A 14,373-nucleotide genomic window follows, 5' to 3' on the forward strand; every position below is an offset into this window, starting at 1 on the left:
TTCCACTGCCAACACCAGGTCCATACGGTGACCTGTCAATTCATTGCCTAATCGTGAAAAGGGTCAAACCCACAAGCCATGGAGGAATATTTTCCAGTCACTGTTTAATATTTTATTTCTGTACTATGAAATGTGAAAGGAGTTTCAGGCTTTAGCAAAATGCCCCCCCAGGTTTTTAAAAATGTTCCAAGTACAAACCATCACCAGTGAAGGCTTCAGAGATGTATCGAAAATACAAAGGAAGCCATTACTCCACAATCTCAATATTTAGAACAAAGGGTAAAATTTGAACTATATTGGATCTTTCATGAATAGTTCATTGGTAGATGGATGAAAAAATCATAATCAAACTCAGTCCTTCAGACTTCTTACAAATTTAATTCCAAAGCTATACCAGTCCCTGACCATATAACCTCTGAGAAGATGAAAAGTATTCCATGCGACAGGAGGGCAAGGTGCTTCAGGCTAGCAGGACCTGGAAAAAAATGTGTGTTCCTTTTCAGAAATGGATCATTTCCCATTACACTACCTGCTGTAGGAGTTTATGCATTTTGAAGGTCCTGCTGAGTTGTATCCGTTTTGCTTTTATCTCATTAACCAAAATATCAGAAAGGTAACGTAGCTCATTGCACCTCTGGCAGATTAAATCAAGTGCATAATGGTGATTTGCTGCAAGCTTGTGTCCATGTAATATCACAAACTGGGCCTTTGATAATAGCTCCTGATTATAACAAAGACAAAAAATAATGAATACATGATCTCTGTTCCTATAGAGAAAAAAAGAAGAAAATAATTAAGAAGCAAAATGTTTGAGCAAGAAGGATACATTGCCAAAAATACAATTTGATGTCTACTTCTTCAGGCTGCAAAAAAAAAAACACAAACAAACAAACAAAAAAACAAAAACAAAAACTTACAGTTATAATAATTAGCTGCAGCAGTGATGTCATTAGAAGCTCATGCATTTCTGGTTATAGAAACTGAAAATTGCACATCACACACAGAATGTGGGTGAGATTTTTTCTCCTAATATGTGTGGATTTAGAATAGAACCACCTATATTAAATGAGGTATACACACCAGCCAAGTGTATTTCATATCATCTCAGCCTTAGAAATCTCATCAGAGTTGTCATGTACCTGGACTACTTCACATACCTGAAGTCACAGGGTTTCTATGTCAAAAAATGACCTTTAGTGGCCTTGCCTCCACTCCATCAACTACTCACTCCCCCCAGTGTAGAGACTCGAACATAGTAGGGGTTCAAGAAATGCTTGTCAAAATAAAATAAATAAAACTCAAACACAGAATGAGGAAATGACTGGCCTCTCTATCTAGTGGGAAAACCAGGTTTAAAATGGAGAGCTGTTGTCTAATGGGTATACAGTTTCAATTTTATAAGGTGAAAAAGTTCTGGAGCTGTTGCACAACAACGCGAATTTACTTATCACTACTGAACTGAACATTTAAAAATGATTAAGACGGTAAATTTCATGTTATGTGTTTTTACCACAATTAGAAACGAAAAATTATTAAATGGAAAAAAATTAAGTCTCCCTTAGTTTCCAAACCAGTTTGCCTCCTCTTTCTACTATACCATAGGGCTATGTAAAGTGTCCCATGATCACACAGATCTACAAGCATAATTCCAGAACTAGTTATCATAACTGTTGCTTCTTCAATATTTGTTTTCACATACTCATGGTTCACCCATAAATCTGTTTGTATGCTGAGAATTCATCTTAAAAAGCGTGGCCTTGCTCTCACATAAAAAGCATGGCCTTGCTCTCACATAAAAGCTAAGAGTTTTTTAAGTATTAAAGCCACTAGTCCAAAATTTAAGACTAGCAGGGATAATGAAAACTGCCTCTTTTGAGTGGTTACTATATAGTCCAGTGTTGTGCCAGGTGCTTTATATACACCTAAATGAATATTCACAATTGCTCTGCAAAGTAGGTCATTTTATCCCCAGTTTATAGATGAAGACACTGAGGATTAGAAACCAATTTACTCAAGGTCACAGATAGTAAGAATAAGTAGAAATATCTATGTGAGTCTCCATTTGGTTAAACTGCATATATCCTAAAGTGGGCATTTAAGGAATTATGTTCTTGTATGTTCCCATCATTTCCAAGCACCATATATCATTCTTCATACACATTTTTCTAGCTTCTCCAAAATAATTTATGCCCTTGTTCTTATTGGTGGGCTTGAAACAGTTCACGCCATTGTCTCAGTGACCTCCTTTTACAACTAACTACATGATATATCTGTAGTGTCACCTCTGGCCTGCATTGAACAAAACAGAATATAGACCAATATAATTGTGCCTGATATACAGAATGTTGTTATGATGGGAGGAAGGCAAGCGATAAAAGGCTACAAATAGGGTGCAGTGTATACTGTTCGGGTGATGGGTGCACCAAAATCTCACAAATCACCACTAAAGAACTTACTCATATAACCAAATACCACCTATACCCCAGTAACTTATGGAAAAATAAAAATAAAGAAATTAATAATAAGGGTTTATACTACCTACTCCCGCCAAAACATGACTATTATACTGTATAATATAGCAGACATCTAAAATACAATCTTACCTGAGAATTTTCATCTAAGTTTTCCAATTTTTTTATTTTTTGTTTTACTTGAGCTATAGTCCCTGTTACATCAGCCAGTTCTGCTTGTTGGTTTAATAGAAATTCAACTTCAGTCACAAGCTAAAAATACGAAACAAAGAGGTTTTAAAAACATAAAATTTATCCCCTTATGATCAAGTTTTATACAAAATGCTTTTAAACAAAAATATTGACATGGAGAAATTACACATATAAAAAATTTGGTTATTTTATTCACAGAAATAGCTATAATCTGTTAAAATTTAACCTCATAGATATCAATGTGTACTCTTGATGTATAAAAGATCACCATGTACATGTGTAGGTTCGTATATGAGGACATGTATTTGCATAAATGTATACGTGTGAGGTATGTATAGGTATATATACATTTGTGTGTGTGTGTGTGTGTGTGTGTGTGTGTATATATATATAGCAAATATCTAAAACAAAATCTTACCTGAGAATTTTCATCTAAGTGTTTTTTTCATCATTCCCCAGCTCTCTGGTGAATTATCCTAAAAGCAAAAGCCCTCCAGAAGTAATAAGCACATCTCCCACCCAGACCTTGGTCTTTAATACCATTTCCCAGAAAAAGAAACCAGGGCTCCTCAAGGAAATAACTGATTCCAGGGTTGAGGCAGAATAGGTACAAGATGAACTTGGAATATATTTTTATGCCAGAAAGTAAGAAAGTGATTTATTTAAATGTTGGAGTATGTCACAAGGACACAGCAGCAGTTTGAAACACCACAATAGTCAAGAACACTAATAAATTATAAACAATCAAAAAACTAGGAATCAGAAAAGAAGTCAAATCATCTTTCTTTGCTGACAACATGATTCTATACCTAGAAAACACTAAAGACTACCAAAAGGCTCCTAGAATTGATAAACAACTTCAGGAAAGTTTTACGATACAAAATCAATGTACAAAAATCAGTAGCATTTCTATACACCAATAATGTTCAAGCTGAAAGCCAAATCAAGAATGCAATTTCATTTACAATGACCACAAAAAGAATAAAATACCCAGTAATACATGTAGCCCAAGGAGGAGAAAAATCTCTATAAGGAGACCTACAAAACACTGCTGAAATAGATCATACATGACACAAACAAATGGAGAAAACATTCCATGCTCATAGATTTGAAGAATCACTATCATTCAAATGGCCATACTGTCCAAAATAATCTGCCAATTCAATGTTATTCCTATCAAACTACCAACAGCCTTTTTCACAGAATTAGAAAAACTATTCTAAAATTCATATGGAACCACAAAAGAGCTCAAATAGCCAAAGCAATCATAAGCAAAAAGAACAAGGGCAGAAATAACATATTACCCGACATCAAACTATACCAAAACAACATAGTCCTGGTACAAAAACAGACACTTAGACCAATGGAACAGAATAGAGAACCCAGAAATAAAGCCACGCATCTACAACCATCAGATCTTTTACCAAATCAACGAAAATAATCAAAGGGGAAAGGACTCCCTATTCAACAAATGGTGCTGAGATAGCTGACTAATCATATAAAGAAGAGTGAAACTGGACCCCTACCTTTCACCATATATAACAATTAACTAAGGATGGATTAAAGATCTAAATGCAAGACCTCAATATACAAGAATCTTGGGAGAAAAGCTAGGAAACACTAATCTGGACATTGGCCTTGGGAAAGAATTTATGACTAAAATTTCAAAAGCAATTTCAACAAATACAAAAATTGATACGTGGGACCTAATTAAACTAAAGAGCTTCTGCATAACCAAAGAAGCTATCAACAGAGTAAACAGACAACCTACAGAATGGGAGAAAATATTCACAAACTATGCATCTGACAAAAATCTAATATCCAGAATCTGTAAGGAACTTAAACAATTCAACAAGCAAAAAACTAATAACTCTCAAAACACAGATATAGATCAATGGAACAGAACAGAGCACTCAGAAATAATGCCGCATATCTACAACCATCTGATCTTTGACAAACCTGACAAAAACAAGAAATGGGGAAAGGATTCCCTATTTAATAAATGGTGCTGGGAAAACTGGCTAGCCATATGTAGAAAGCTGAAACTGGATCCCTTCCTTACATCTTATACAAAAACTAATTCAAGATGGATTAAAGACTTACATGTTAGACCTAAAACCATAAAAACCCTAGAAGAAAACCTAGGCAATACCATTCAGGACATAGGCATGGGCAAGGACTTCATGTCTAAAACACCGAAAGCAATGGCAACAAAAGCCAAAATTGACAAATGGGATCTAATTAAACTAAAGAGCTTCTGCACAGCAAAAGAAACTATCATCAGAGTGAACAGGCAACCTACAGAATGGGAGAAAATTTTCGCAACCTACTCATCTGACAAAGGGCTAATATCCAGAATCCACAATGAACTCAAACAAATTTACAAGAAAAAAACAAACAACCCCATCAAAAAGTGGGCGAAGGATATGAACAGACACTTCTCAAAAGAAGACATTTATGCAGCCAAAAAACGCATGAAAAAATGCTCATCATCACTGGCCATCAGAGAAATGCAAATCAAAACCACAATGAGATACCATCTCACACAAGTTAGAATGGCGATCATTAAAAAGTCAGGAAACAACAGGTGCTGGAGAGGATGTGGAGAAATAGGAACACTTTTACATTATTGGTGGGACTGTAAACTAGTTCAACCATTGTGGAAGTCAGTGTGGCGATTCCTCAGGGATCTAGAACTAGAAATACCATTTGACCCAGCCATCCCATTACTGGGTATATACCCAAAGGATTATAAATCCTGCTGCTATAAAGACATATGCACACGTATGTTTATTGTGGCACTATTCACAATAGCAAAGACTTGGAACCAAGCCAAATGTCCAACAACGATAGAGTGGATTAAGAAAATGTGGCACATATACACCATGGAATACTATGCAGCCATAAAATATGATGAGTTCATGTCCTTTGTAGGGACATGGATGAAGCTAGAAACCATCATTCTCAGCAAACTATCGCAAGGACAAAAAAACCAAACACCGCATGTTCTCACTCATAGGTGGGAATTGAACAATGAGAACACATGGACACAGAAAGGGGAACATCACACTCTGGGGCCTGTTGTGGGGTGGGGGGCGAGGGGAGGGATAGCATTAGGAGATATACCTAATGCTAAATGACAAGTTAATAGGTGTAGCACACCAACATGGCACATGTATACATATGTAACGAACCTGCACATTGTACTCATGTACCCTAAAACTTAAAGTATAATAATAATAAAATAAAAAAAAACTAATAACTCCACTAAAAAGTGAGCAGAGGACATGAACAGATACTTCTCAAAAGAAGACATACAGATTTCCAACAAAGAGGAGAAAATGCTCAATATCACTAATCATCAGAGAAATGCAAATCAAATGAGATAACATATCACATCAGTCAGAATGGCTATTATTAAAGAGACAAAAAGGAACAGATGCTGGTGAGGCTATGGAGAGAAGGGAACGCTGATACACTGCTGGTGGGAAAGTAAATTAGTTCAGCCACTGTGGAAGGCATCCTGAATATTTAAGAACTTAAGACAGAACTACCATTTGACCCAGCAATCCCATTACTGAGTATATACCCAATGGAAAATAAATCATTCTATCAAAAAGGCAATGCAATTGTATGTTCACTGCAGCACTATTCGCAATAGCAAAGACTTGGAATCAACCCAGGTGCCCATCAATGATGGACTGGATAAAGAAAATGTGGTACAAATACATCATGGAATACTATGCAGCCATAAAAAAAACAAAATCATGTCTTTTGCAGCAACATGATGCAGCTGGAGGCCATTATCCTAAGCAAACTAACACAGAGACTGAAAACCAAACACAGTATGTTGTCACTTATAAGTGGAAGTTAAGCATTGGTTACACATAGACATAAAGACAGAACAATAAATGCTGGAGACTACCAAAAGGGGGAAGAGGAGGAAGGCAAGGGCTTAAAAACTAACTATTGGATATTATGCTCACTACCTGAGTAACGGCATCATTCACACCTCAAATGTAACAGTATACCCATGTAACAGTATACCCATGTAACAAACGTGCATGTGTATGCCCTGAATCTAAAATAAAAGTTGAAAGTTTTAAAAACCAATAAGTAAAAATCTTTGAATCAAATAAAGAAATAAATGGAGAGAAGGGAAGGCTCTTGCTTCAGTAGAATGCCTAGTGTGGACTGATAAATGTGGACTGGACATGGGAGTTGAAAATAATCATTATTTTGCAACCATCACAGCAAAGATTTGTCCAGGCAAACATCATCAGTTGATGCTAAATTTACGGGGAAATTTTTATGAGAAGGAGGATATTTGCATAACCTTAAATTTTCTCCCCACACATTTCCTACTAGTTAGAAGGGGAGTAAAAGTAGCTTTACAGTGGAGAAATTCAACAACACCCTGAATAGGTAATCAGAATCCACATCAACAATAAGAGGGAGGTAGGCTTCATTCACCTGCAGATATGATTCCTTAAGAAGGACACTTCACTAATGTGGTATTCTAGCTGGTCATATATACTAAATAGAATCATGAGAAGATGTCCAACAAACTCCAAATGAAGAAAAATGCATTTCAAAAGGGACTATGGCTGGGCATGAGTCCTTATAGCTCATGCCTGGAATCCCAGCACTTTGGGAGGCTGAGGCGGGAGGATTGTTTGAGCCTAGGAGTTGCAGACCAGCCTGGGCAACACAGTGAGACCCCATCCCCACAAAAATTAAAAAGTTAGCCAGGCATGGTGGTGCATACCTGTAGTCCCAGCTACTTGGGAGGCTGAGGGGGGAGGATGGCTTAAGCCCAGGAGTTTGAGGCTACAGTAGCTATGATTGTGTCACTGTACTCCAGCCTGGGAGACAGAACTGTCTCAAAAAAAAAAAAAAAGGACTATATTCTTCAAAATGTCAGAGTCATAAAAGACAAAGAAAGGCTGTGGAAATGTTCTAGATTCAAGGGCACTAAAGACACAAGACAACTTAATGCAAGACTGGACCCTATATAGGATCCGATTCTGAAGGAAAAATAAATGCTATAAAAGACTTGACTGAGTCAACTGACAAAATTGAAATACCAATGGTAGATAATATAAAAGTATTGCATTGTTAAATGTACTGAATCTGATAACTGTACTATGGTTATATAACAGAATATCCCTATTACTAGAAAAAATGGAAGCATTTAGGGGGAAAGGGCCATCATGTGTGCAACTTACACTCAAATGGGTCAGAAAATATATTATTTGTCAGATCAGAAAAAAATATTATCTGTATATATATGAGGGAGGGAATAAAAATAATAGAGCAAATGGAGTAAAATATTGTCATTAAGTTAATCTGGGAAGAAGGTATATGGGTATTTTTATTTTTCTTATATTTGCCATTTTTCTGTAAGTTTATGTTTCTACGTGTTTTTTTAAAAAGTCATGTTTCTAGACATACAGAACTTGTCGACATGTCACTATGAGACACACCATGTCAGTGAGATTATAATCTAAGACAAACAACAATATTGATTAAAGACAGGAATTAATGACTTGGGGAAACAGAACATAACCACAGGACAAGAATTTGGTATGCATGCAAATTAATATGTAAGTATAAGCATAATGGGTATGTTCAGGAAAAGTGCTATTTTCTGTGTATTCAGTTGGAGACGAGGGAGAAACACAAATACCTAGAAGGACCAAGAGCAACCTGACCTATTCTTTCTTTAGGGAAGGTTTCATGCAGAACATTTCAAAAGATGTTTGAATCAAAGGAGAGAAAACGCTAGTGGTAACTGAGCCCCGCGTCCAGAGTACAGTGCTCCTCCGAAACCTAACTCTGATGAGCAAGTGAAATACAAAGCAAGTAAGCCATTCATGGGCAGAAAACAAGCTGGGCACATGCAAGAGGAACAAGTGAGTTTTCCTTGGATCCTCTGGTGAAGTATATACTGTGAGAGAGACTGTGATAAGGTTGAACATGACCGCAAAAGGAAAAGAAACTAAATCTATGCATCTTGACCATATATGATGGATTTTCCAGGAAGGTCCAATTGGAATGTATTTTTAATTATTTATTAAACTTATTTAATTTCATCTCTCAGGCTTTTCACAGGAATAAACTCCTGGATCAGAAATAAAAGCTTGTTAGGTCTTATTAAATATGGTCAGCATAGGTACATGGGATTTAAAAACCAAGAAGGAAGTTGGTATTATTCCCTTGGAAAGCTACCTCATAACCTTGAATACCCTTTAGATCTAAGATAAATTTGAATAACAAACCCCAAAGTAGAGAGTAACTTTGTCCCTGTCATATATATTGGCAGTTTGATACTTTCTCAAAGGAAACGAGTAAGCTGAAAAAGTAGAAGTCTCAGAATTTTAGTAGAGATTTTCTTCAGTCTAAGCCAAGGTTCATTTACATTTGCCTCCTTTTTTTTCTTTGTAGGTATAAATGGGCATCTTGCAAGGCAGGATTTCTCATGATTAAGGAGTAAAAACCTCTGGTGTAATGAAAAAAGGTATACAAAGAAATGTTTTAACTGACCTGTTGAAAATCCTGCTCAAACTTCCATAGTTGCAGATACTGCTCCATTTTTAATTGATGTTTTTCCCAAAATCCATCAAAAGCTGTTTCCATATCATGTACTTGAGTCAGCAACCTTAAGAAAGAAAACTCCAATAAATTCCTAAAAGCAACTATCTGTTTTGTAAGTATGTAGATAAGTGTGGTCTGGACATTAAGAATTATAGGCAAAGTCATAGCCCATGACACTTGGTTCTACCTATAGAGACAACCAATGTCCACAGACTCTCTTCTACAAGCAAAATCATCTCTGTAGGACAACCTAGAAATAAGTTCTCAGATTTCCAGAGGTCCAGGAATACTTTAACACTTAACATATTGCAGCAAAAATGTATAATTTCCTTTCAAAAATATAAAATAAGTAACTCTAAACCAAAAAGAGAGTACTCACTTATTAATAGTTTGCCAGTCACCACTTATTTGCCGATGACATTCTAGTCTTGAACTGACAGCTCCTTCAGTGTCAGGCACTTCCAGATTTGTTAGCAGAATTTTTCCTTCTTTGGTTACAGCTGTAATATCATTCTGTCCAAAGACACAAAAGGAGTATCACCTAATTAGTAATCCAACCTGAATGATGTGATGGGAAGGGAGCATACAACTATGGCATGAAGAATCGAAACAGTTAATTCTAGAATGGCCTTTGCTTTCATAGCTCTCTGAAAATTCACAAAATTTCAAAATCTCAGTGCCACAAAATCTAAAAGCTGTGAAGATCCAAGAAGCCCTTGCCTTAGAGATGGACGTTGCAATTAATGTTTTTATAAGATCATCATGGGCAGAAGTACCATGTGCTCTATTTGTAGCCTCCTTCTCTAACTGGTAGAAAGTTCCAATCCAGTCCATCCTATTCTGCTAATATTTTATTTTTATTTACTTTTTTAGAGATGGGATCTTGCTATGTTGCCCAGGCTGGACACAAACTCCTGGGCTCAAGCAATTCTCCTGCCTCAGGCTCCCGCGTAGCAGGGACAACAAATATGTACCACTGCACCTGGCACTGTTCTGCTAACACTTTTAATGAGCTCAAATAAAGCAGTAGTAGCACAATAAAAACCACCACAGTAGAAAGCATACAATTGCAAATAATACTTAATGCATATTCAGATACAGTTAAATGCCTTTGCTACTAATCCTTAATTGTTACCAATCACTCCCTGCCTTAAGTCTTATTTTACTTCACATTTAGGTTTAATTAACTCATCAAGAAGTATATGCCTCTATTCAGAAGGGCTTAACCTCAGTGGGTGGTGTAACAATATAGACCTTTCTCAGACATCTAAGAGTGATTTAAGATTTCTTTCAGGTGGTCCAAGAGTCCCTTGAAATTGTAAGCAAAAGTTTTGGTGTACATTTATTCTGAGGACAGATTCCATGACACCATCACCAATATGGGTAATAATATCAACATTAAAAGCCAATATTTACGAAGTACCAACTATGTACGGAACATTGTTATACATAGATCAGTTTCTTTGCCTCATTTCATCTTCACAGCAATCCTACCAGGTATGATGCATCATCATCATCACCAACCTCACTGTAAAGATACAGAAACTGCAACTCAGAAAAGGTAAGCAAATTGCCTGACAACATGCAGTTTGTGAAAAACAGAGCTTTCTTTCCTTGGACAGAGCTTTGTTTTTAGATTGTGATTCAAAAGGTCAGTTTCTTGCAAATCAAACCACAATGAGATACCATCTCACACCAGTCATAATGACTATTATTAAAAAGACAAAAAATAACAGATGCTGGAGAGGCTACAGAGAAAAGGGAACACTGACACATACTTGTTGGGGATGTAAATTAGTTCAGTCACTGTGGAAAGCAGTCTGGAGATTTCTCAAAGAGCTTAAAACAGAACACCATTCAACCCAGCATTGCCATTACTGGGTTTATACCCAAAGGAAAATAAATTGTTCTACCAAAAGACACATGCACTCATACGTCATTGCAGCACTATTCACAACAGCAGAAACATGGAATCAACCTAGGTGCCCATCAATGGTGGACTGTATAAAGAAAATGTGGTACACATACACCATGGAATACTATACAGTCATAAAAAAGAACGAGATCATGTCCTCTGCAGCAACATGGATGCAGCTGTAGGCCATTATCCTAAGCAAATTAATGCAAGAACAGGAAACCAAATACTGCATGTTCTCACAAGTGGGAGCTAAACATTAGGTACACATGGACATAAAGATGGGAACAATAGACAGTGGGGACTACTAGAGGAAGGAGGGTGGGAGGAGGCAGAGTGTTGAAAAACTACCTATCTGGTACTATGCTCACTACCTGGGTGACAGGATCATTCGTACACCAAACCTCAGCATCCCACAATTTATCCATGTAACAAACCTGCACATGTACCCTCTGGACCTAAAATAAAAGTTGGAAAAAAACTCAGTTTATCTTTTTAATTTAAACACATATCTCTATATACAGCTTTAATCTTCTAATGCACACAGTATGTCTATTATCAGATGAGAGAGACAAGTTATATGAATGCCCAGTGCTTGTTCAGATTATTCTTAAACTTTCTGAAGAAAGTGGATCCAAAAAATACTTGCTGATTATCTGAATTGCACTTCAGAATCCTTCACAAAACAACACTCCACAAAGACCTGGATAGGAGAGCACAAACAATTTGCAACCCCTGGTCTACTGTAGGAAACATCAAGACCTAGTATTCTGCAGAGAAGAGAACTTACAATCAATTGAGCAATGTTAGCCTTGGTCACAATGCTAGCTCACAGCAGAGATGGGACTAGAAACTCGGCCTCCTGACTCCTCCTCAAAAATAAAAAATACAGCCATGCATCACTTAATGTTGGGGATATGTTCCGAGAAATGCATTGTTAGGCAATTTCATCATTTTGTGAACATCACAGAGTGCATTTACAAAAACCTAGATGGATAGCCTACTGGACACCTAGGCTACAGGGTATAGCCTATTGCTCCTAAGCTACAAACCTGTACAGCATGTTACTGTACTGTATACTGTAGGCAGTTGTAGGCATACTGTAGGCAGTTGTAACACAACGGTATACGTTTGTGTATCTAAACATGTCTAAACATAGAAAAGGTACAGTAAAAATATGGTACAATCATATGGGACTACTGTCATATATGTGGTTCATCATTGATCACAACAACCTTATGCAGTACATGACCGCACATAGTAAAACAAAAGACTATATTTCTTTTTCTGCAGCATTTATAAGATGTTTTTAAATAACTTCTCAAATTAATGCACCATTTACGGAGGGGACACTTAGGTCTAACATATCCAGGACAGTCTTCTCTTATAAAGTATAATTTTTTTTAGTTTTTAAATATATTACATAAATGTCTTTTATCTCCCCTTATGCAACAGTCAGTGTAAAATGGAGATAATAAACACCTCTCTAGATAAAGACCATGGAAATCTTTTGTTTGTCAACTCTATCAGACATACCTTCAACAGATGATACCTTTCAGCACGAATTGCCAGAATTTCTTCTATTGAGGGAATATCATCTGGTAGTTCTGTCTCAGCCAGTTCAGTTCCAAAGGACTGTAACATCTGAGCCATTTCTTTCACTGTGAGGGCAAAATTTTCTATAGCCTGCAAAGAGCCGGTGATTACTTTAATTATATGGTCACTCTGTGAGCATATCAAAAACTGGATCAGTAAGTGTATTTGTTTTTATTGGGGGTATAACGGCAAACACATATACTATGAACTCTCCTCTGCTAGAGAAATATGGCATTGCTCTTGGCAATCAACTGTAACTCTTCATCTAAAACTCTAAGAAACTGAAGGAAGATTAAGAGTCTTCCTGAATATCTTTTATCCAAATTTCTTGACTTATTTCTTGGACACTAATGAAAACTATTTCTTAAAGATGCCATGTATTGAGTAGTTTGTTTTATTTTCTTGAAAATTACAGTATTTTCCTTATTCTATAAACTCTCCAATTGGCAAAATTGCCTTATAATAACCTTACTTCTGAAGAGAGATGAGAACAGTAAAGTCACTTTATATTTGTTTATTATCATTTGTGAATAAGCATTAGCATTCCAAACAAGGTGATAATTGAAGGAAACGGGGGAAAAACTAGTCACAACAACTCATTTCAGGTACTATAGAATATTTGGAATGGTGGCCCCAAAGCCTTTGTTGCCATAAAATGGTAAGTACGGTTTTGTTGTTTCTTTTGTTTCTAAAATCAATTACTCTGAGAAAGAAGGGCAAAATGTAGAGACCATATGACCATCTGTTAACCATGCATATCAAAATATTTGCTTGTTTATTTATAGCATTACAGGTTATTAAAGGCTAGGCATTGCTAATTTTGGCAATACATCTTCATGTGAATGAATGAATTGTTGAATGAATGCATTGTTAAATGAATTAATGAATGAAATGTTGAGTGAAGAACAAGTATGAGGAAAATGGAATCCTAATTTAATGGGACATCATTAATTTCTTCAGAAGGGTTCCCCTATCTCTGGGATTAGAAGTCAAGATACTCATATACCACAGACATACTTGGGAGGTGCAGGGCCCTTGCCTATTTGTAAATTTCTAAAACAGAAGTACAGTCTTTGCTACAAATTTAAATGCCTCAGAAGCATCACTAGAATAATGAGATTAATAATACTATTTGCACTTATTGACGGTTTGCCATATGCTAGGCACTGTGTAAAACATTTTACTTTTGCTATCTCATTTAGTCTTTTTAAGATCCCTGTGAGGTAAGGTATTATTAGTCCCATTTTGCAGTTAGGAAAACTAAGACTCAGAGAGGTTATGTATATTGACCAAGGTCATATAACTAAAAATCAGCAGGGCCAGGATTTGAATCCAAACCCTTCATTTCTTCAAGTTACTATATAGCCACAGGAGGGGATGGGCAGAGTATGATCTCCTTATTCCCTAGGATTCTCCTTCAATTGCCATCCTCAGTGACTGCTCATCATTTCTAGATATTGCCTATGGAAGAAAACCAAGATGTTGAATTTATATGTATGTGAAAAATGAGGGCCCAGAAAGCTGGGGTTTTTTTGTTTTGTTTTGTTTTGTTTTTTTCAAATAGGAAAGAATTCTAGAACTAGATTTAAAGGCTAACATGAA

General features: G+C 36.3%; 1 protein-coding gene across 15 annotated transcripts in view; it reads right to left on the minus strand.

Annotated features, from left to right (window-relative positions):
• Positions 1-14,373, minus strand: part of MCF2 (MCF.2 cell line derived transforming sequence) — a 126,398-nt gene that overhangs the window by 35,214 nt on the left and 76,811 nt on the right. For 14 of the 15 annotated variants that reach the window (NM_001099855.2, NM_001171876.2, XM_047442112.1 and 11 more), the window contains 5 exons: positions 12,712-12,861; positions 9,640-9,773; positions 9,210-9,324; positions 2,604-2,723; positions 530-721 (listed from right to left, as the gene is read on the minus strand). In NM_001099855.2, coding sequence (NP_001093325.1) covers positions 530-721; positions 2,604-2,723; positions 9,210-9,324; positions 9,640-9,773; positions 12,712-12,861 — 711 coding nt within the window. Of the gene's footprint in view, positions 1-529; positions 722-2,603; positions 2,724-3,081; positions 3,114-9,209; positions 9,325-9,639; positions 9,774-12,711; positions 12,862-14,373 lie in introns of those variants that run through there. The other variant, XM_047442114.1, reaches the window with a different exon arrangement.

The sequence above is a fragment of the Homo sapiens genome, chromosome X, assembly GCF_000001405.40.
Source record: "Homo sapiens chromosome X, GRCh38.p14 Primary Assembly".
NCBI classification, from domain to species: Eukaryota; Metazoa; Chordata; class Mammalia; order Primates; family Hominidae; genus Homo; species Homo sapiens.